This window comes from Homo sapiens, chromosome 8, assembly GCF_000001405.40.
Source record: "Homo sapiens chromosome 8, GRCh38.p14 Primary Assembly".
NCBI lineage: Eukaryota > Metazoa > Chordata > Mammalia > Primates > Hominidae > Homo > Homo sapiens.
Window position 1 is genome coordinate 60,926,878 of NC_000008.11, and position 23,241 is coordinate 60,950,118.

General features: G+C 44.2%; 1 pseudogene, besides 5 other annotated features; it reads right to left on the minus strand.

Annotated features, from left to right (window-relative positions):
- Positions 1–140: an enhancer, noted in NCBI's record as "active region_27431". NCBI's record gives its function as "activates an Ori minimal core promoter by ATAC-STARR-seq in GM12878 lymphoblastoid cells {active_cell/tissue: GM12878}" and the evidence as "EXISTENCE:reporter gene assay evidence [ECO:0000049][PMID:35858748]".
- Positions 2,305–2,434: an enhancer, noted in NCBI's record as "active region_27432". NCBI's record gives its function as "activates an Ori minimal core promoter by ATAC-STARR-seq in GM12878 lymphoblastoid cells {active_cell/tissue: GM12878}" and the evidence as "EXISTENCE:reporter gene assay evidence [ECO:0000049][PMID:35858748]".
- Positions 2,305–2,592: a biological region, named in NCBI's record as "ReSE screen-validated silencer GRCh37_chr8:61841844-61842028".
- Positions 2,408–2,592: a silencer, noted in NCBI's record as "fragment chr8:61841844-61842028 (GRCh37/hg19 assembly coordinates)". NCBI's record gives its function as "represses an EF-1alpha promoter that drives an FKBP-Casp9 reporter gene in an ReSE screen in phorbol 12-myristate 13-acetate-treated (for megakaryocytic differentiation) K562 erythroleukemia cells {active_cell/tissue: K562(+PMA)}" and the evidence as "EXISTENCE:reporter gene assay evidence [ECO:0000049][PMID:32094911]".
- On the minus strand, positions 10,071–13,101 carry NASPP1 (nuclear autoantigenic sperm protein pseudogene 1; annotated as a pseudogene).
- Positions 18,713–19,007: a silencer, noted in NCBI's record as "tiled region #10423; K562 Repressive non-DNase unmatched - State 22:ReprW". NCBI's record gives its function as "represses a minimal TATA promoter and a strong SV40 promoter by Sharpr-MPRA in K562 cells {active_cell/tissue: K562}" and the evidence as "EXISTENCE:reporter gene assay evidence [ECO:0000049][PMID:27701403]".

The following is a 23,241-nucleotide window of genomic DNA, read 5'->3' on the forward strand; positions in this document are numbered from 1 at the left end:
GCTTTATACTGCCCACTTTTTGGAGGTCATCCGTGGTGCTGGGCTGTAGCTAAAATGAGCAGCGAGGGCCACGCTCTTTTCAGCCTCCATGCTCTCCTCAGAATGATGTAGGAAAGGAGGGGAAGGTGCATTGTTTACCTTCTCAATTCTTGGGGGTTCTTGGCTATACCAACTCCAAATTGAAGAGCCTTGTGACCTGTTTCCCTAAATTAAGACTGCCTGGCTCTCCCTGTTCTCTTTGTCCCTGTTTAAAGCTGTATTGGTCACGACACAGATGAGTCTCTGTGCAGCTGCCACTCTCTATACCCAGGTCTCTGCCGGGGAAGCTGGTGCTTTGAATCCGAAAGCAAACCTTAGTGCTGCTGGGAAGCCCTCCTCCCCATTCCTGGAAGGTAAAGGGGCTGCTCTGGCTACTGCTGGTGAGTCCCTGGAGCATTTATCATCTTAGGTCTGTAGAAGTGAGCCATCTGATCCCTGGAGATGCTTACACCCTCTCTGAAGAAAGTGTGAGGGGTGTTTCTGGTCTCTGTTTTGGAAAAGTAGACTGTTGGCCAAACCTTCTCAGAGGGAATTCAAGAGGCAGGCTGGGCTGGAAGGACACAGTCCACTTAACCCCTTGTCCCGGGCTCCTCTCAAAATATCTAGTGAGTGTGGCTGGCTGGCAGGAAGGGAGAAGCAGCTGAAGGCAGAGGATGTGGTTACTTTGCAAGACCCTAGTTCTGTTACAGGATCAAAAAAAATTGTTGCAAAACACATTTATGTTACAATTTAATAGGTGTGTACCTACTAAAACAGCTCAGCTTGTGTGTGTGTGTGTGTGTGTGTGTGTAGGTGTTTGCCTTGGTATTATATGGAAGGTCTTGGTCACAATACACTTCTGTGGTCAATGACTGTTAGTGTGATTGGTATAGTTTACCCAGAAAGACAATCATATCTCACTGGGTTAGTTTTCTGGGGCTGCAGTAACAAAGTAGCAGAGACTAGGTGGCTTAAACAACAGAAAGTTATTTTCTCACAGTGCTGGTGGCTGGAAGTCAGAGATCAAGGTGTCAGCACGGTTGGCTTCTCCAGGGCCTCTCTCCCTGGCTTGTACATGACTGTCTTCTCCCTGTGTCCTTACACGGTCTTCCTGTGTACACATCTGTCTGTGTCCCAATCTCCTCTTTCCTTAGGGACATCAGTCACATTGGATTACTGCCTACTATAATGGCCCCATTAATACGATTAACTTAGTCACCTCTTTTAAAAACTTTTTCACCAAATGCAGTCACATTTTGAAGTACTGGGGTCAGGACATTAACATATAAATTTTGGGGGGACACAATTCGGCCCATACCATGCACATGAAGAGTCACCATGGTTCAGAATAGGTTCTTGGAGTTTAGAAGGTTATAGGGGTTTAACCATGAAAAAAATAAAATGTATTAATAAGTTTTTTTTTTCTGAAAAGAAGAAATGCTTCACCCTGGGAGGTCGAGGCTGCAGTGAGCCAGGATTGCGTCACTTCACTCCGCCTGGGTGATATGGCGAGACCCTGTCTCAGAAAAAAAAAAAAAAAAAAGAAGAAGAAAGAAAAAACAGCAAAAACATTTTAGTACTTTTCAGAACCAGTTATGCTTTGTTTATCCTGCAGAATAAAGACAGGTAAATATAAAACTAAAGTATTTATGTTAGGGTGGTAGAATTTGGGTCATTAAATTTGTTTCTATTTTATTAATTCTATTGGTATGTATTACATCACCCTTATCTTTATTTATTTATTTATTTATTTATTTATTTATTTATTTATTTATTTTTTGAGACGGAGTCTCGTTCTGTCACCCAGGCTGGAGTGCAGTGGCGCGATCTCGGCTCACTGCAAGCTCCGCCTCCCGGGTTCACGCCATTCTCCTGCTTCAGCCTCCCGAGTAGCTGGGACTACAGGCGCCGGCCACCATGCCCGGCTAATATTTTTTTGTATTTTTAGTAGAGACGAGGTTTCACCGTGTTAGTCAGGATGGTCTCGATCTCCTGACCTCGTGATCCGCCTGCCTCGGCCTCCCAAAGTGCTGGGATTATAGGCGTGAGCCACCGCGCCCGGCCCCATCACTCTTATTATTAAACGTTGGCAATGCAGAGTGAATAGAGACATTACACATTAGAAACTACTTATTTCTACCTCTTCATTTTAGCATAAGTTGAGACACAGAAAGACAGAGTGAGCTGCCAAGGCCATGACCAGGCCCCAACCCCTGGCCCCCATCTGCCCACACTGGGCAGGTGAAACCCCCTGACTGCATGGATGTAGTTGGGTTGGTTCTTAGATTCACACAGGCTGACGGAAATAGACTGGAGTTATTACATGAGATGATCATCCTCTGATCCGGAGTTGGGACTTTTGCTACTGTTTCAGAGAATACTTTCCTTTGTTTGTTTTTCTGATAAATCTTGAAACCAGTGCAGACTCTTCCGCAGCCTCCACAATACCCAGGTGAGACATGCATTGTCTCATCTCCCTTCTCATCTCTGCCCGCAACGCCCACACAAACAAGAGTTGAGACGGGGTGAGTACTAGAGTCCTTCCTGATTCTCTGAACATAGTAGTTTATTCCTTTCTTTGTAAAAACAATGTGAAAGCACCAGATCTGGGTGCTGCTTGTTTCAACAGGAGGCAGGTGTGGCGTGAGCTGGTCCTTCATGGCTTCCCACTGTTCCACCACAGCCCTCCTGGGAAACACTTCCTGCAACACAGGAACTGCCCGTCAGCACACATTTATCATGAGCAGCACCACACTCTCTGTTCGGAGTCTGATGGGAATTAACATCTCAGGTTGCATGAATGTCTCCTGAAGGCCAACTAGTGATTTCCTAAGTCAACTACTTCCTTATTGCAATTACCATTAGGATGCACAGATGTTTGTTTATAGGTCTGAGGAAGGATACTGTATTGTTTGATATGTGGAAGGGCTAGTGTGTGTGTGTTTTTAAAGTCATTCCCCTGAGTCCTGAGCTAGATGGTTTATTTCTCAATGACATGGAATCCCTCAGCCGTTCCTTGCTGTCAAGACCAAACTTGCCATCTGCTCAGAGACACTCTGGGTCTGTGCCCAGGATTGTCTAGTAGAACTCATGTCCTCCGCCTTTTCCACTTCTTGTCTCTTCTCGGAATATGCAACTTTCCCCCTCTTGCCCTTACCTGCTTCTCCAGAACATACTCCCAGAACATAATTCCTTACTTCTACATTTATGCAAGTCTCAAAGTTTTCCTTTTTCTTGATTTGGGATAGCACAATTCATCCCAAATCGCTTTTCAGGAGCAATTTTTAAAATTTGTGGTAAAATGTACATAACATAAAATTTTATTTTAACCATTTTTTTTCTTTTATTTTAGGTTCATAATGTACATGTGCAGGTTTGTTATGTGGGTAATTATGAGGCTTGATGTACGAATGATCCCACCACCAAGGTAGTGAGCATAGTACCAAGTACGTTGCCTTCCCACACACACACTGTCTCACCCGCCACCCTCAAGCAGTCCTCCGTGTCTATTGTTTCCATCTTTGTGTCCATAAAACCTAGTTTTCTTTTGTTAATTTTTAATATTGAATTTTAATTAATTAATTAATTCATTATTTTTTAAACTTTTATTTTAGGTTCAGGGGTACATGTGCAGGTTTGTTCACAGGTACATTGCGTGTCACAGGAGTTTGTGTGCAGATTATTTCATCACCCAGCATAGTACATGATAGATAGTTTTTTGATCCTCACCCTCCCCCCACCCTTTACCCTCAAGTAGGCCCTGGTGTCTGCTGTTTCCTTTTTTGTGCCCACGTGGACTTAATATTTAGCTCCCACTTACAAGTGAGAACATGCAGGAAGAAATTGAATCCCTGAACAGGCCAATAATGTGTTCTGAAATTGAATCAGTAATAAAAAGCCTACCAGGCCAGGCGCGGTGGCTCACACCTGTAATCCCAACACTATGGGAGGCTGAGGCAGGTGGATCACCCGAGGTCAGGAGTTCAAGGCCACCCTGGCCAACATGGTGAAACCCTGTCTCTACTAAAAATACAAAAATTAGCCAGGCGCGGTGGTGCATGTCTGTAATCCCAGCTACTCAGGAGGCTGAGGCAGGAGAATTGCTTGAACCTGGGAGGTGGAGGTTGCAGTGAGCTAAGATTGTGCCACTACACTCCAGCCTGGGTGACAGGGTGAGGCTCTGTCTTTAAAAAAAAAAAAAAAAAAAACAGCCTACCAATCTGAAAAAGCCCAGGACCAGATGGATTCACAACTGAATTCTACCAGATATATAAAGAAGAGCTGGTACCATTCCTACTCAAATGATTCTAAAAAATTGAGAAGGAGGGACTCCTCCCCAACTCATTCTATGAGGCCAACATCATCCTGATACCAAAACCTGACAGAGACACGACAAAAAAAGAAAGCTTCAGACCAATACCCTTGATAAAAATAGATGCAAAAATCCTCAACAAATCCAAATCCAGCAGCACATCAAAAAGCTAATCTACCACGATCAAGTAGGCTTCATCCCTGGGACACAGAGTTGGTTCAACATACACAGATCAGTATATGTCATTCATCACATAAACAGAACTAAAAACAAAAGCCACATGATCATCTCAATAGATTCAGAAAAGGCTTTTGATAAAACTCAACATCCCTTCATGTTAAAAACTCTCAATAAACTAAGCATTGAAGGAATATACCTCAAAATGAGAGCCATCCATGACAAACCCACAGCCAACATCATACTGGATGGGCAAAAACTGGAAGCATTTCCTTTCAGAATCAGAACAAGACAAGGATGCCCACTCTCAGCACTCTTTTTTTTTCTTGAGACAGGGTCTTGCTCTGTCACCCAGGCTGGAGTGCAATGGCATGATCATGGCTCATTGCAGCCTCGATCCCTTGGGCTCAAGCCACCCTGCCACCTCAGCCTCCTGAGTAACTGGAACTACAGGTATTACACCACCACACCTGGCTAATTTTAAAATTTTTGGTAAAGATGAGGTTGCACTATGTTGCCCAGGCTGGTCTTGAGCTCCTGTACTCAAGTGGTCCTCACACCTCAGCCTTCCAAACTGCTGGGATTACTGGTGTGAGCCACCATGCCTGGCCCATTTTAGCCAGCTTTAAGTGTACATTTCAGTAGCATTAAGGACTTTCACAATGTTGTGCAACCATCATCACCATCCATCTCCACACATTTTCTGTCATCCCAAGTAGAAACTCTGCCTGTTAGACATGAGCTCCTTATTCTCCCGTCCCCAGTCCCTAGGAGCTTCTATTCTACTTTCTGTATGTATGACTTTGCTTAGTCTAGTTGCCTCATATAAATGGAATCATAAACATTTGTCCTTTTGTGACTGGCTTATTTCACTTAGCATAATGCTTTTAAGGTTTATCCATATTATACCATGTGTCAGAATTTCATTCCTTTTTAAGGTTGAATACCATTCCATTGTATGTCTATACATTTGTGCATTCATCTGTTGATGGACATTTCTATCAGTGATATTGTTTCTATCTTTTGGCTATGTACAAGGCTGCTATTAACATTAGTATACGAGTATCTGTTTGAGTCCTTGCATTTAATTCTTTGGGGTATATACTTAGAGGTTGAAATGCTGGATCATATGGTAATTCCACGTTTAACTTTTTGAAGTCCTTACAAAACCAGATTAGATTTAAACACCTCATCATAGTGCATGGTCACCAGTCATAGGGGCATTGTGTACTTATTTGTGAAAGCAGGACCATTTCCTCTTAGAGATAGGACATTAAGGGTCATCAGGTTCAGTTACCTCTCCTGATGGGGCTGAATAGGACAAGGGTTAGGTACTCCTTGGTGACAGAAAGGCAGGGCTGAGTTCCAGCTCCCTTGCTTCCAATCTGTAATCTTGGGTTAGTTACCTAAACACTCAAAGCAACCATTTCCAATGAGAAAAACGATATCTACTTTTAAAAGCTATCATGAGAATTAAGTAAGACAATGTGGGAAAATGCTTGGCACAGTTCCTCTTACAGGGAAATCCTCAATAAGTGGTAGCCATTGTTGTTTTTGTGACCACATTTGTAGATGAGGATGCCGAGGCCCAGAAAGCATAACAGTTCTATGGTTGCTTCATCCCATAGCTGGTTTTGAAGTTTTGATGTACATTACCATGATATACAGTTTAAGGTCTAATCCTCCTGTGAATCTTGTTCATCTCCTCTCTGCTTTTCATGGAGGTTGGTGTTTCAATAGTTTGTTGATGATGCTGGTCCAGCTAAAATATTTCAGGAGGCAGCATGACTTTGCACTATCCCACTTGCTACTTACTAACCTTGTGGCCTTCAGGAGGTCACTACATCTGTCTAATGCTTGTTTTCTGCCATAATAGAGATATCGTATCAAATGCATGGAGCTGTGAGTGGAGTTAGGCAAAACAGAAAGTCTCTGTACCAAAGCATTTGCTGAAGGACAATTTCCACAGTCCATCAAAACAAAGACATTAATTGTAAGACGGGCCAACTTAGTTATTACACAAAGCTGAGGTGCCGTGGACTATAAAATGCATCTCCATATCAGAGATGTTAACAGGTGAAGAATACATGCATTAGAACTGATGAAATACTGTAACTGCCATTTGGTGACTTCCTAAGGAAAAGGCCATACACGGAAAAACAGAAGTTTGGAAACTGCCTCACCTTTTGGAAAAGGAGCAAAGGAACTGGAGCAGTTCTGCTTTTCCTGTGATTAAATTGGGACCACATCCGGGTCAGCACTTTTATGTACTCCTGTCCAAAGAATTCAAGGGGAAAAAACCCTTGGAAATGCAAGCTCAGCCTGGCACACACAATGGAAGATGGAATGTTTTTGGGGAAAAAAAGCTCTGTTATCTTTTTGCTTACCTTGCAGAATGCAAGCAGCGTCATTCACCCAGCAGACTTGGCTGGTGGCTGGTGAACTGAGCTGGGGGGTGGGGGAGTCCCCTTCAGTCTCTCCAGGTTAGCTAAGGTCCCACTACCCCGACTCTTTTTATCCAGAGTATCTTACACGATCAATCCATCTGATGGTGTCAATTATAAGAAGGTGACTAATTTCTGAACCTCTGAAACACCAACTTGTTGGGTTTTGATGCAACTTTGCAGGTGACCTTAATAATGGCCTTGCCTACAAATCACTCACATTCCCATAGCTGGTGGTAGTTCAGGGGGTAGTAGAATCTGGGAGTTTCTAATCCCTCCCCAGCATGCACATTGTCTCCCATAATTTTACAAATGAGAACTATCTTGTGAGAATTTGAAGAGGGTTGCTAGTAATATTCCCCAGATTGCTTGGACTCTCAGCTGACTAGATTAACAAAGCTTCTCTTTCCTTTGGTAGAGTTCGTCTCTGATAGCTGCGACCTATTCGAAGTTCTATGGTTAACAGTCTGTACTTCAGATATTCTCTTCACTCCTTAAACTCTTCACTGGCAGTGAGCAAACACTGAGCATTTGCTGTGTTTCAGGCACAGCTGGAAAAACTGTTATGTTTGGAAAGGTCCTATAACATTCCCATTTCATAGACATTGATCAAGCACTGGAGAAACTTGTCCACTGTTATGCAGCAAATTTGAGCTCTGACTCCAGAGACTAACTTTGCCATCCAGGGTTTCAGTGCCTCCCTTGATTGACCTAGGACATCCTCCCCAGAACAAACAGAAGCCTGCAGATGAGAACACACTCAATTTCCCTCCACTAAACTTACAAACCTACCTACATCTGCACCCCATCTTCTTTCTTTGCACTCCTTGCCTGCCTTCTCAGGGACCTCACTCCATGACCATATTTTTTTCTCCTATAATTTCAACCTCTTGTTATCTACTAGCTCCTTTCCTAAGTTAAGTGTCTCCCATATTGAAAAGGAAATGCAATGCTCCACCCAAACCCTTGTGCCTACCTCCCCATATGTGTCTTCTACGCTTACTGAATGGGTCGTGTCAATTCCTGCATTTGTCTTCCCACCTTGCACCACCACTTCTCAGCAACCTGGCTCCACCACTGCTACCCCTTTAAATCTGGTCTTTCCAAGGTCACAGTAGCCTCCTTGCTGCTAGATGTAGTGAACGCACCTGAGTCCTTATCTCCTTTGCCTAACTGAGCATCTGACAGCATTCCCACTCCTTTCTTATAGAAACACTTCTTTTGCCTTCTCTAGTGCTCCTCCAAAGTCAGCATTGTTTTGGGCTACTGTCAGAGGCATTTGAACCAGAGTGACTCCATCTTGAACAGGGGCTGGGTAAAATGAGACTGAGACTACTGGACTGCATTCCCAGGAGGTTAGGCATTCTAAGTCAAAGGATGAGCCAGGAGCTCAGCACAAGATACAGGTCACAAAGACCTTGCTGATAAAACGGATTGTGGTAAAGAAGCCAGCCAAAAGCCACCAAAACCAAGATGGAGAAAAAAGTGACCTCTGGTCGTCCTCACTGCTCATTATATGCTAATTATAATACATTAGCGTGCTAAAAAACACTTCCACCAGTGCCATGACAGTTTACAAATGCCATGGCAACATCAGGAAGTTACCCTATATGGTCTAAAAAGGGTAGGAACCCTCAGTTATGGGAGTGGCCCATGCCTTTTCAAGAAAACTCATGAATAATGCACCCCTGGTTTAGCACATAACCAAGAAGTAACTGTAAGTATGCTCAGTTGAGCAGCCCAGGCCACTGCTTTGCCTATGAAGTAGCCATTCTTTTTCATTCCTTTACTTTCTTAATAAACTTGCTTTCACTTTACTCTATGGACTTGCCTTGAATTCCTTCTTGCATGAGATCCAAGAACCCTCTCTTGGGGTCTGGATCAGGACTCTTTCCAGTACACTACAGTGACGGTTAATTTTATGTGTCAGCCTGACTGGGCCATGGGGTGCCCAGATATTTGGTTAAACATTATTTCTGGGTGTGTCTGTGAGGGTGTTTCTGGATGAAAGTAGCACTGGAATCAGTGGACTGAGTAAAGCAGGTTGTCCTCCCCATTGTGGGTGAGGCTCCTCCAATCCATTGAGGGCCTTCACAGAATAAAAGGCCGAGTAAGGGAGAATTCACTCTCTGTGCCTGTCTTCAAGCTGGGACATCTGTCTTCTGCCTTCAGACTCAGATCTTGTCTGGAATTACAACATTGGCTCTGTCGGGTCTCCAGCTTGCCGACTGCAGATCTTGGACTTTTCAGCTTCCGTAATCACATGAGCCCATTCCTTATAGTAAACCTCTCTTTCTCTATATATCTATATCTACATCTGTATCTATCCTATTGTTTCTATTTCTCTGCGAACCCAGTCTAATACAGCTACTTATCTTCTGATCTTCCTCCTTTAGAAAACGAGCCCCTTTTCCTTTTGGAAACTTCCCCTGCCTTACTGGTGGGATTGTACATGAAAGCACTGATCTCCCTCACCAATCCACCACTTGCGCTGGACTGGCACAAATGCCTGGTTAGGGAGGAATGCTTGTTTCTTGCTCTTTGTTTCCTGCTAATTGTTTCCATGTGGAGGGATTTCACTAGACCACTGGTTTCCAAAGCATGGCCCCTGCACCAGTGCTGTCAGCATTCCTTGGGAATGTGCTACAAATGAAAGTTCTCAGGCTTCACCCAAAGTCACTGAATCACAATGATTCCCAGTCAGACTCAGCAGTCTGTTTCATCAAGCTCTTCAGGTGACTCTGATGCACACTAAAGTTTGAGAACCACTGCACTACCATAACACTCCTATTTTGTTTTTGTTTTGTTTTAGGTTTGTTGAAGTTTAACTTATAAATTGTAATATTCACCCTTTTAAGATACACATTTCTATAAATTTTAACAAATTCATACAGTCATGTAATTGCTATTATTAATAAGCTATCTAATACTTCTATTACCCAAGAAGGTCTCTTCATCCCCCCTTGTATTAAATCTCCCACTCTACTCTCAGCCCCTGGCAAAGACTGATCTGAGTTTTGTTCCTATAATTTTGCCATTTCCAGAATGTCATACAGATGCAATCATCCAGCATACAGCCCTTTAAGTCTGGCTTCTTTCTTTTTTTTTTTTTTTTTTTTATTTTTAGCATCTTTATTTGAGAAGTCAGTTCTGCAGATGGGTAACAATTCCAAGTGTTGATATATCTGAATCTTTCTATACAGAAAATAACAAATAAAACTCAACCAGCCAGTCTCCCCACTTATGCTTCCAACCACATCTGGAGTGTCCACCATCAGTCCCTTGGCTACTTTCAAACCAGAACTTAAATGCAGACCGTTTTCCTTATGAATCATTCCCCCGACCCAGGTTTTCTTCAGAGTTCTTTTTCCAGGACAGGATTATAGCCCCAGTTGAAGACTAGGTGGATATAGGACAAGCACCATCTTAGGCCTGGATCACAGCCAAAGTCCATCATCCATTTTCAGCACCGAAGAGCAAGATCTTCACCAAGTCTCACTTTGGTAGCCCCCATCCAGGGACAGCACCACTGAAGGTTTGCAAGATAGCTGGGTTCAGTGAAGTATTTGAAAGCAGAATATAGCACCATTGGAAAACAAAGGCCTGCAGCCACACTTGATCACCTCCGCATTAGACAGATAGGAATTAGGATCAGGAACACAGATCAGTACAGAGGCCAAAACAAAACCTTTGGCTACTATATAAAACCAGGAGTGCTCCAAGGCAGATTCAGCCAATAATTAAGAAAAAAATCATCAAAGCCTCAACCTTTGCTTACAATCTTTATTGAAGTTATACAAAAAGAATCCTCCAAAAGTGAAAAAATACATTATATACAAAAACACTTTCCCTTGGGAGGAGGGCTGTGCCCTCTCTTTACATGCAGTGCTTTCAGCTGTAGCTCCAGCCTCCACTGTCCCCTCCACTGCCGCCCGGCTTTCAACCCGATTCTCAGCCTCCTCCTCCATGTTTTCCAAAACTTCATTTCCACTGGGGACAGCATCTCCACTGCCTCCGTTCACCTCCAGCTCTTGTTTGACTTTCTTTGCATCATCTTTCCAGGGACTCTGTTCCTCCGGTTTCCTCTTCTTTCTGACAAAGTGAGAAATATCAGTCACACAATTTGATGAGGAAGCACCATCTGTTGGCTTTCTACTGGCAATCAGGAGACTGAAGAGCCTCCTCCACTAGGAGTGAAACCTGAAGTAGAGCTCTCCACCAGAGTAGCTTTCAGAGCCAGTTCAGCTACATTCCCAGTAGTCTGAGACTCCTTTGCATCTTCTGTCTTTTCTGTAATTTCGGGTAGCAGTTCCTTCAGTTCCTCAATTTCTTTCTTGTATTCAGCAGACGATCCTTCAGCCTCCTTCACCTGCTCGTTTAGTACAGCCATTCTCTTCTCAATGACTTCAATAGATTTGCTGAACTGTGCCACTGCCTCATCATACTGAAAGTTGTACCCATAAGCCAAGCCCAGCTGGTAGTGGGTCTCTGCAAGGAGATGGTCGTAGGCTTCCAGGTACTGTTCCTACAGGTTTAGGCAGGACTGGAACTCCTCCACAGCTTGCACATAGTTTTCAGATTCAACACCAACTTCTCCGAGTTTAAGATGTGCCTGGGCAACATAAAGCTGGGCTTTTGTTTCTTGCCTTTTAAAAACGATCTTTGCTAAATCCAGTGTATCCCAGGCAAGCTCTAGGTTCCCAATCTCCTCCTCTTCATTTTCTTGAAGAGACTTGTTTTCAAGGACTGAATCATTTGGCATTTCTTCAGCCTTATCATTTTCTTTATCATCCTCTTCCAAGCCTTCAGTTTCTTCACCCTCTTTTATCTGTTCGTCCTCTCTCTTTTGTCTCTTCATTAGCAGCTATCTGAACTTTGTCTTCAGGTGATTTCTCAGTAGCTCCCTGGGCTACCTTGGTATCAACCCCATCTCCAGCTGCCTCAGACTCTTCTACAGACAGCTTAGTCTCCTCCTGACTAGGAACCAGCTTTGCTCTGACCTTCTCCTCTAGTCCTGAGCCATCTTTTGTTTCTGTCAGTCTTTCTATAGAAGTCTGTGGTTCAGTAGGAGTCTGATCTCCTACAGCTGACGGTCCATTGACCGCACCATCCTTAGGGAGAACTGTAGCCTCCTGCCCAGGCTTTTCAGAGACTTCTGATCCAGCCTCTAAGGCTGAGGCCTCTGCAGCCTCTGTTGTCACCTCCGGTGACTCTTCAGCAGGTGGCACTTCTTGACCTACCAGTTACTCAAGAACCACCTTTCCTGCCTTTTCAGAGGTAACTACCTTCTCCTCTGGCTCGTCCCCACCCACATCTACTGGCTTGACTGTTGGGTCTAAAGACTCTGCTGCTACCTCCACTGCAGTGCCCTGCTTTTCTAGAATCACCACAGTCTGCTCTTCTGAAACTTCTTTTGGCTTCTCCTCTATGCTCACAATTACCTCTCTGTGCTTCTCCCAACCTCCTTTTCTCTGCACTCTTCTTGGACATCAGTTTCAGAAACTGATTTTTCTTCCTCAACATCTGGTACTTCCTGTTCTGGCTTCCCAGAAGTGACCTCAGCTTCATTTGGTCCTTCTGGTGCTCCTCCTCCTTTTGCCCCTTCAGAGATTTCAGTTAACCAACCTAGAGTCAAGTCAACTTTTTCCTGTGGCTCCTCTGCAGATTCACTTATATCCATATCTTCTCTTCCACCCTTCTCCATTTCACAGTCCTGTTCTTTATCAGTTTCAGGCTTTGCGAAAGACTTGTCTTCTGTTTTTTTGGCTTCTTCTTTTTCTCCCATGGAGTCATAAACCTGTTCTCTCAACTCTTTCCTTGCTTCCTCATCTATGCTATCATTATTTTCTACCAGAGATTCATCTTCTGTTTTTTCTCCTTCTTCCTCTTCCACATGCACACCATCCAAGGTGTTTCCCAATACACCATTCTCGATTCTCTCCACTTTATCTGCAGATGTAGAAGGAGCAGGAACATCTTCAATTTTGTTGGCAGAAACCAGCTCCGCAGCGATGGCGGCAGTGGCTGTGGACTCCGTGGCCATCGTTCCCTTGAGGTGGCAAACCAGTGAATGGAATAGAGCCTGTGAGAAAAACAGGCAATATGGGATGCCAGAGACTCACTCAGGGACAGAAAATGGCAGATTGAGACTGGCTTCTTTCACTTATCACCATGCTTTTGAGATTCATCTATGTTGTTGCGTGTGTCTGTAATGTGTTTCTTTTTATTGCTGAGTAGTATTCCATTGTGTGGATACTAGAGTTTGTTTAATCATTCACCTGTCGATGGGATATTGGATGGTTTTCAGTTTTTGGTGACTATGAATACAACTTTTATAACTGTTCACTTACGGATCTTTGTGTGGACATAGATTTTCATTTCTTTTGGGTAAATAATTAGGAATGGGATTGCTGGGTTATATGGTAAAGTACATTTAACTTCATAAGAATAGTCTTTCAATGTGACTTTACTATTTTGTGTTCTTATCAGCAATGGATAAGACTTCCAGTTGCTCCATGTCCTCATCAGTGCTTGGTATTGTCAGGTTTTAAAATTTAAGCCATTCTAATGACAATGTATCTGGGATTCCCCCCCACCTCCATTATTCCCTAGGGGATGGTGGGAGTGGGTGGGAAGGATGGTAAAGAGGTAGGTAAATTTAGGAGGAGGCATGTGTGGCTCAGCTTCATTCTCCTACTCTTCTGCCTGAAGAGAAGGTGCATTATGATGAGAAAATACGTTAGGATGCCACGTGGCCAGCATAGCTGGGTAGCCTGTGTTCCCAGGATGTGCCCCTGCTAGGGCAGCTGGCAGTTGTCCAGTGTGGCCTATGACTTGGGTAACTTTTATTCTTAGGTGCAATATTAGAAACCTAATTTTTTGCCAAACACCTAAGTCATGTCTCCACTATAGCTCCCCTCCCCATCACCTTTAAATCTGACATGTGGACTCTGTGGACTCTGTTTGCCTTCTACACTTATCTCTCAATTGATTCTAAATTTGGGGTGGGGGAGAGTTGTCCCAGTTTTTTCAGGCTGCTATAACAGAGTACTATAGGTTGGGTGGCTTATAAACAATAGAAATTTATTTCACACTATTCTGGAGGCTGGGACGTCCAAGACCAAGGTGCTGGCAGATTTGGCATCTGGCGATGGCCCACTTCCTGGTTTATAAACAGTATTTCAAACTGTGTTCTCACATGGAAGAAGGGCCATGGTGGCTCTTTGGAGTCTCTTTTATAAGGGCACTAATCTCATTCATAAGGGCTCCACCTTCACGATCTAATCACCTCCCAAAGGCCCCACCTCCCAATACCATCATGTTAGAGATTAGGTTTCAACATATGAATTTTTTTTTAAACATTAAAATTATTTATTATCAAGGGATTATTGATAACATTTTGGTATATAGTCTTCTAATCTTTTTTTTTATACTTTAAGTTTTAGGGTACATGTGGACAACATGCAGGTTAATTACATATGTATACATGTGCCATGTTGGTGTGCTTCACCCATTAACTCGTTATTTAACATTAGGTATATCTCCCAATGCTATCCCTCCCGCCTCCCCCCACCCCACAACAGGCCCCGGTGTGTGATGTTCGAATTTGGAGGACACACAAACAAACGGAACTCATCTCCCTGGCCCCTAGGATTGGTGTAAGGTAAGTAAGCAACAGGCAAGGCTTCTTCCTTGAAGATAATATCAGGCTGGATGTGCCAGGAGTTGTCTTTGTCAATAGAGCTTGTCTGAGAATAAAGGCAATGCTAGGAAAGCTGATCTGAGAAATGGAGAGAGGCAGGGGTGAAGATGGCAAGGGCGGGAGAAAGGATGGCATTGCACCAATTTCCCCAAGTGTGCCTGAAAGATTATATGTTGTTTGTTCCACCCCTCATCTTTTTAGTTATGGTGAACCTGTAAATTCTGTCTTATGGTTAAGTCAATTTGCACTGGGCTTCTGCTCCTATAACAGAAGGAGTCAATTTTGCTTAAGTGGGTAAGAATGTGGGCTTGGAGACAGCACCTGAGTTGCCATTTACTAGCTGCCTGGCCTCGGGTAAGTTACTTATCCTCCCTTTGCCTCAGTTGCCTCATCTATAATAGAAGGATACTAACATAATAGTACTTACCTCAAAGGGGGGCTGTAATGATGAAATGAGTTAACACCTCCTATCCATTTAGAACAGTACTTAGCACAGGGAACATTTTAAGTAAATGTTGGCTACTATGAATACAACTGTATTTCTAGTTTTCCTCCTGTTTCTCTGGGCATTCTTACTCAGAATCTTTTGAGGCTTCTTATCTACTCATGTTGGTGAGTCCTCTAGTTTCTGTCCTAGACCTTCCCCTTGTCACTGCATGCTCTCCCATGGCTTTGGCTACTATCTCTGTGCGAATAATTGCCAATAAACTCCAAGACTGACCTCTGTCTTGAGGTCCAGACACAATATCCAGTTGCTTGTTGGCTATCTACAATTAGATGCTGTGTTATTTTAAACCAACACATATCTATTATCTTATGGTGTCCATGGGCCAGAAGTCCAGACATGGCTTGACTGGGTCCTCTGCCTCTTCTCATGAGGCTGCAGTTGAGGTGTCATTTGGGCTGTGTGCTCATCTGGAGGCTTGACTGGAGAAGAATCTGCTTCCAAGCTCACTCAGGTTGTTGGTAGAATTAATTTCCTTGTGTCTATATGACCAAGGATCCCAGACTTTTGCTGGCTGTCAGCTAGGGCCATCTTTGGGTTCTGGAGGCTACTCACAGCCCCTTGCCACGTGGCTTTTTCCAATACAGCTTTTGCTTCATAAAGCTCTCAGTAGAGCCTCTAGTTTCAGCAGGCTAAGAAAAAGTCTTATAGGAGTTACATTCTATTGATTATAAAGAAATCACAAGTCCTGCCTACACTCAAGGAAAAGGGATTATCCAAGGGGGTGAACACCAGGAGGATGGACCATGGGGCCACCCTAGAGTCTGAGTGACACAGATGTCCATCATCAACACCCCCCAAGTGGCACTTATCACCTCCTGACCACTCTGCTCTTCTTCCATGGGTCCCTGCAGGAGGGAATGGCATCACCATTCAAACCAAAGGCCAAGAGGTCATCCCCGATTGCTTTTTTTTTGAGACAGAGTCTTACTCTGTCATCCAGGCTGTGATCTCGGCTCACTGCAACCTCTGCCTTCCGGGTGCAAGTGATTCTCCTGCCTCAGCCTGCTGAGTAGCTGGGATTACAGGCATGTGCCACCTTGCCTCACTAATTTTTGTATTTTTAGTACAGATGGGCTTTCACCATTTTGGCCAGGCTGGTCTCGAACTACTGACCTTAGGTGATGTACCTGCCTTGGCCTCCTTAAGTGCTGGGATTATAGGTGTGAGCCATCATGCCCAGCTTCCAATTCCTTCTTCTAGCCAGCCTTTCATACAATCAACCATCAAGCCCTAATGATTTGCCTCCTAAATGCTTCTTGATTCCTTCATTCTCTCCACTGTGGTTACTACAGCAGCCACCCACTTGCCTTCATTCTTTTCTTCCTACAGCAGCCAGGGACATCTTGCTGAAATACAATTCTGATTACATTGTACCCTTACATTCTACTTAAAGTTCTGTGATTACTTTCCATTGATCTTGGGATGTGGTTCAAATTCCTTAACGTGGCCCATGAGATCCTTTGTCATGGGGCTTCCCTCTCCTTGCCAAACTCTCTCACGCTGGCCTTTACATGTTCTGTCCCTTCTGCCTGGAACACTCTTTCCCTCCCTTTGCTTGTTGTTTGCTTCCCTTTCCTTGTGTTTCCCTGAGTTCTGTGAGCTACCTTCACCCATAGTCAGGCCCCAGCTTCCATGCTGCTTCCTTCAGGAGGCCCTTCCTGACTGCACACCTATATTAGCCACCGCTGGCCCCCACACTCAGCACCCTGGATTTCCATGTTCCCCACACTCAGCACACAGAGTGATCACCTCTTGTTCACTTGTCCTTATTCTCCTCTAAACTGTAAGCTCTGTGAGGCTGGGGGACATCCCCTGTCTCATACTTTCAACACTGTAAGTCTGCAAATAATTGTCAAGTGTAGAAAATGACAGATGAAGCCTTGGATCTTAGCCCACCCTTAAAAATATTTCCACCCTTGGCTTGCAGCAACGTCCAGGGTTCACTCTTGATGGGCTCTGTTCCAGTTGGCAGATCTTTTTAAGTAGAAAGTAATATATTAATAGAGGCACCTTTGTTTTGGGTAATATTTCCTTCCTATTATGGTCAGTCCAGTCTCAAGACCTTTACTTGCTACTGATACACTCCAGCGACATGAGAGCTGGGACATCATCTATTTCCTCCTTATGCAGTGTTTGTCCTTCTGCTGTGTAATTGGAATTTTGTAAAAATAGCTGACCAACTGCAGTACATATAGTTCTATAAACTCGCTGGGAACAGTCTCCTCTGTCCACCCTATGGAGGGGCCCACAGCTGCTCCCCGGACATTCCAAGAGATGCTCTCATCCACTGAGAACAGAGGGAGCATTTGTTCCCTCAGCCCACTTTGGAGGGACAGCTGAGGCTTGGCCTCGTCCAGCCAGGTCGGCCTGCCCAGGGCTTCGGGTCTGGTTTCACGCAGCAAGCAATTGAGCTTAATTGACAGGTGTGAAGTGTGTCCTCTCTAACCCATCTCGACTTACTTCTGCCTTTAGGGGTGAGGCAAACTCACTTGGGAGCCCAATTAGCATGTCATGTTGGGGGGTGAGTGTGTGTGTGTGTGTGTGTATGTGTGTGTGTCTGTGTGCATGTGTGAAAGAGAGAGAGGGAAAGGGAGAGAGAGAAAAGAGAAAAAAGGGAGAGAAAAACCTCAGATGCAGAAAAACAGAGAAAGAGAGATGGAGGGAGAGACTCAGAAAGGGAGAGGTAGAGAAACAGAAGGAAACAAAGAGAGAAGCAGAGAGCTGGGAGCAGAGAGATGGACAGATAAGAGGGCTTTGGAGCTGGTACAGACAGGCACCACTGGTGGCCTTTTAGTTGGGTTAAGTGCACACAAATGGAAAATGAGATAGTGTAGAATGTCAGTCCCATCTGGAGGACCATGTGTGAAATAATGACAAAATGAGCATCTATATGGTCCTTAGTGTATTCCTAATGGGCCAGGAGTGAATTCCGAGAGGGAGTTGGGCTGGGGTGGGATTAGACTGGGAGACATGTGTGTCCATGGCAGGAAGCATTACCCTCAATCCCAGTCAGTTCTCATGCGCACGTGTGAGGCTGAGTAGGTCATACTGGGGCCAGGATGGCCTCAGATGTGAGAGCCAGTTCTGCATGGAGTGAAATCATTCTCTCGAATGCTTAGGGGTGATGCTAGCATGCAGAGAGTCTGGATACCCAAACAAAGGCAAAGACAAGGTTTTTTCTGAGTGTTCATTGGCTTCAGAACTCCCTCTAAATGAGGCAAGGCTCCAAGTGTGCATAAAGCATGCACTATTCTGTGCACTTTTCGGTTTTTTTTTTTTCTTTTTTTGAGACAGAGTCTTGCTCTGTCATCCAGGCTGGAGTGCAGTGGTGTGATCTCGGCTCACTGCAACCTCTGCTTCCCGGGTTCAAGTGATTCTCCTGCCTCGGCCTCCCAAGTAGCTGGGATTACCCATGCACCACCATACCCAGCTACTTCTTGTATTTTCAGTAGAGAGGGGGTTTTGACATGTTGGCCAGGCTGGTCTCAAACTCCTGACCTCAAGTGATCCACCGCCTCAGCCTCCCAAAGTGCTGGGATTATAGGTGTGAGCCACTGTGCCTGGCCTCTGTGCGCTTTTCAAATATTGTCAGTTAGTGCTCACAAAACCCTTATGTGGTAGATACTATTATTGCCTCCACAGCGGAAGTTATGGGGTAGAGAAATTAACCAGCTTGCACAATACCCCTCTGCCAGTAAATGGTAGAGCTGGACTTTGAAGCCAGGAAATCTGGTTCCAGAGTCAGTGCTCTTCCCACTTTGCTATACTATGCACTGAGATTCAGCTCTCAAACTAAATCCAGTTCTTTGTTCAGGAGTCTTTCCAGAGAGGAAGAAGAGTAGCATGTAGTAGAAAGAACTGACTTCCTGCCTTGATTCTGCTGTCCCTAGCATTGAGATTTTGAGATAGGCCTTCTAAGCTTCAGTGGGGTGAAATGACTAGGTGCATAGACTCTGGAGCCAGACCCAGCTAGCCCACCTGCCACCACCCTGGCCCTTACCAACTGGGTGCTCTTGGTCTTTTACTTAGCCCATTGAGCCACAGATTCTTTCTCTGTAAAAGGAGGACAAAAACAGCTATCCTCATGGAATTGTGAGGGTTAAACAAGGTTGTGTATTTAATGCAGGTAGTAAGCCCTCCATAAATGTTACCTATTGTTATTATCTATTAAATGGTGGCCCTTCCTATTTGATATACTTATGGTAGGAATGATATAAGATGATGAATGTGAAGTGCTTTGTAAACATTTCTGCATTACTCAAATGACAGTATTATTGTTTTTATGCATGTAAGGTACATGTATAAGGTGGATGAATTAATAGCTTTAGCAGATAGCAAGTCGTGGAGGCTAGGATGGGCAGGGTGGGGGAGGGGCTGGGAGGAGGAGTAGACAAGTCACTGTAATACCAGATTGAACATGGAAGGTCCCACCAAAGAATTCTAGCACCATGCTCTGGAGTCCTGTAGAGGAAAGGATCAGAAAAGACTTAATTGAAAAACTAATATTGGAAAAGGCTGTGAAAATGCATTCATTCAATACATATTGACTGTCTACCCCTTGCCAGACATTGTGTTGGCTGCTGGGAATATAGCCATGAATAAGGCATAGTCATGGCACTCAGGAAATGGTCTTTGGGATCAGGCTTCAGCTGGGATGGGGATAGTTTGGAAGATCATTTCAACAGGAGGAAATCGGGTGAGCAAAAACATAAAGAGGAAGAAGATAAGCAAGCTTTTTTTTTTTTTTTTTGAGACAGAGTTTCACTCTTGTTTCCCAGGCTGGAGTGCAATGGCACGATCTCGGCTCACCGCAACCTCCGCCTCCCGGGTTCAAGCAATTCTCCTGCTTCAGCCCCCCGAGTAGCTGGGATTACAGGCACGAACCACCACGCCTGGCTAATTTTGTATTTTTAGTAGAGATGAGGTTTCTCCATGTTAGTCAGGCTGGTCTTGAACTCCCAACCTCAGGTGGTTTCCGCCCACCTTGGCCTCCCAAAGTGCTGGGATTACAGGCATGAGCCACTGCACCCGGCCAGATAAGCAAACTTTATAGAGCACCCAGGAGTCCACTATCGCTGGTCTGAAGTTTGTTGAGTAATGGAAGGGGAATCCAGAAAAGGTGTTTGAGGTCATACTTGGGCAGTCTTGAAGGACAGTCTGCAATTAACGTGAATGGCAATGGAGAGCCTTTGCAGGGTGGTAGTATGCCTGCAGCCACACAAAGACCACTCTCAGCTAGGAATTCATAATAGTGCAATGTATTTTTACTATTGTAGAGATCATGTCTTAAATATACACGATAGCCTGTCCCAGAAGAGATCTACTCAAAACTTTTTCAGGGCATGAGAATGTACACTCAGTCTTTGAGAGTGATATTAAGTCAATTGCAATAAACCAGCAACTTGCACTTGTCATAGATTTAGTACACACACACTCATGCATACACAGTAATAGATCGAATTTTAAAGTCAGTTCTGAGTTTGAGGGTATTTACATGTGTCATTTTCTCTTTCAGTTTCAAAATTCAATGTGTCAATATATAAAATTTAAGAATAAATGTATATGGCAGGGTAATTGTTCAAGAATTAAACTATATGCCAACAGAACATTGGCAGGCTTTATTTTGTGACATTTAGGGATCTTGTCTTTGCAATTTTTCCTTGTGGAAAAAGAGGTAGATTGGAAATCATTGCAAATCAAAGTGATGCTTTCAACCTCTGAAACAAATGCTAGCTTGTCTTTTTCCACTTTTCATACATTTGCATAGATCTGTCAACTGAATCTGAATTTTGTTAAGGGTAAAGTGTAGTACAAAGTTATGAACACCCGCGTACCACAAAATTGCTTTGCCCCCTCTTCTTCAGTTCACAGCCCCATGTCCTTCCCCTCACCCTCTCAAGAGCATGTTCCTCTCAGAAGATTTGGAAAGAGCTTAATGAGATGGAGTCAGAGCCTTAATAACAAACTAGTCACTGCCAAACAGAACAGAACTTTTAAGTAGGAGATGACCTCTCCCTGCCACTGTTCCTTACCTGTGAGTTGTTTTGTTTTGTTTTGTTTTTGAGATAGGGTCTCGCTTGCCCAGACTGGAATGCAGTGGTGGGATTTTGGCCCACTGCAGCCTCCACCTCCTGGGCTCGAGCCATCGTCCCACCTTAGACTCCCGATTAGCTGGTACTACAGGTGCTAATTGCCAGCATGCCTGGCTAATTTTTGTATTTTTTTGTAGACACAGGGTTTGGCCATATTGCCCAGGCTGGTCTCGAACTCCTGGGCTCAAGCGATCTGCTGGCCTCAGCCTCCCAAAATGCTGGGATTACAGGGGTGAGCCACTATGCCTGGTCGAGTTTCTGTGTTTAATTGCAGTTCTACAGATAGTCAGAGAAATGTGTTTTCAGATGTTTCCCAGTGAAACAACCAGGATTATCTCCTGGCCAGATCCGAGTACTCAGGTGTGCATTCCCCTGGGGGAGAAAATCTGCTCCTGGCTTCAGCCGGGTCAAAAGGCCTCAGAAGTGGGAGGATGCAAACCCAACTGGCACATGCCACTAGCCCATCTCCTTCAACTGTCATTTATGGATCTGTACAGGGATCCAGCGATTCATTTGACTCCGATTGGCTGCCAGCTCTGTTCTACTGTGTTGTCAGACACCACTGCAGTTTGCAAGAAAGTCAGCTCTGCTTGCATTTGGGTTACTAACCACAACTGCCAAGGACTTGAAAAGAAATAAAACCCCGGGGCAGGCAGGGTCTTGATTCTGTATATGTTTTGTTGTCTGTTATTTTTATTCCAAATTAATAGTGCAGATCAAGCCCACAGTTAAATAACACATCTGCCTGGGGTTTGGGTAGCAATTCACAATATGTTTTTATTCATTATTGCTTTAATTATGGCTCAGAATTCCTTTGAATCTCTCCCAAGTAACAGGTGGTTTTCTGACCATGATAAATGCTAAATGCTGCTCAGGATAAGGCAGCTAAGGCATTGTTTTCCTAGCTGTGGTTACACCTAGGCCCCAGGCAGCTTCTGAATTAGCAGCCTGCAACAGATTGGAATTCCTGGGGGACTTCACTTAACCCTTAGTTCTCCCAAACTTGTTTTCAATGCACTGTTGCGTGGGGGCTCCTCGTTGCACCCAGCTGTGCGGCAGATGTGCTTTTTGTATTCTGGGAAGTAGCAGGAGGGTTTGGGGTAGGTCAAAAAGTTAATATGTCAATGTTCTGAAGGGAGATGGGAGTAGAAACTTGGTGATATTAAAGATGATTTGAATTTAGATTCTTAAAAAAAGAATAAAAGCATTTTTTTATATATCTGCAATAGATAACAATTAAATAAGTCACACATGAATCATCAAAATTAGAGTGAGGGCAACGACCTATTAGATCATCTAGCCAGTTCCCCAGTGAACACAGAATTATTCCCCACAGTGTTTTCAGGGGTGCTTTGTACAGTGTCTTTTGAAAGACTTGAGCAATTGAGGCCTTCAATTATTTCCTTAGGGAGACACTTCCCCTTATAAAAGGCCATAGTGTTTTCCTCCTTTGCCTGATAGTCAAGCTAAAAAAATAAATGTCTGTATGGTACATGCAAAATCATTTGCACAATGACACTGATCAGAGGTAGAAATTATACCTATAGGTCTCCCAGAAAACAGTGAGCATGCAGTTGGCATTCTTCCCTGCACTCTCATTTCAGGTTTTTACACTTGAATTTGCATACTTCATGGAGGTGGCAGTACTGAAATATCTCCGGCAAGCCTCCCTGTTTGCAATACCACTATTGCAAACTGGTCAGAGGTAACATTGCACCTCTTAATTTGAAACTAGGGGGGAAAAGCTGTTTTGAATAAATTCTGTTCAGACTGTCCATGTTGTCAGGGTAGAGAATACTCAGTCATCCAGGAAGTAGCAACTGCTTAGAATTCCTCTCTCTTTGGAACAGACTGGTATTGTCTTTCCTGGGTTGTTTGTATTGGAGAGGTCGCCAATTGTACACACACGTGACGGGGGCTGTAGGATAGACAGCCCCCAGTTTTCAGCCTTTGAAACCTGGAGCTGCAGAGCCAGTGCCCGTAGGTGG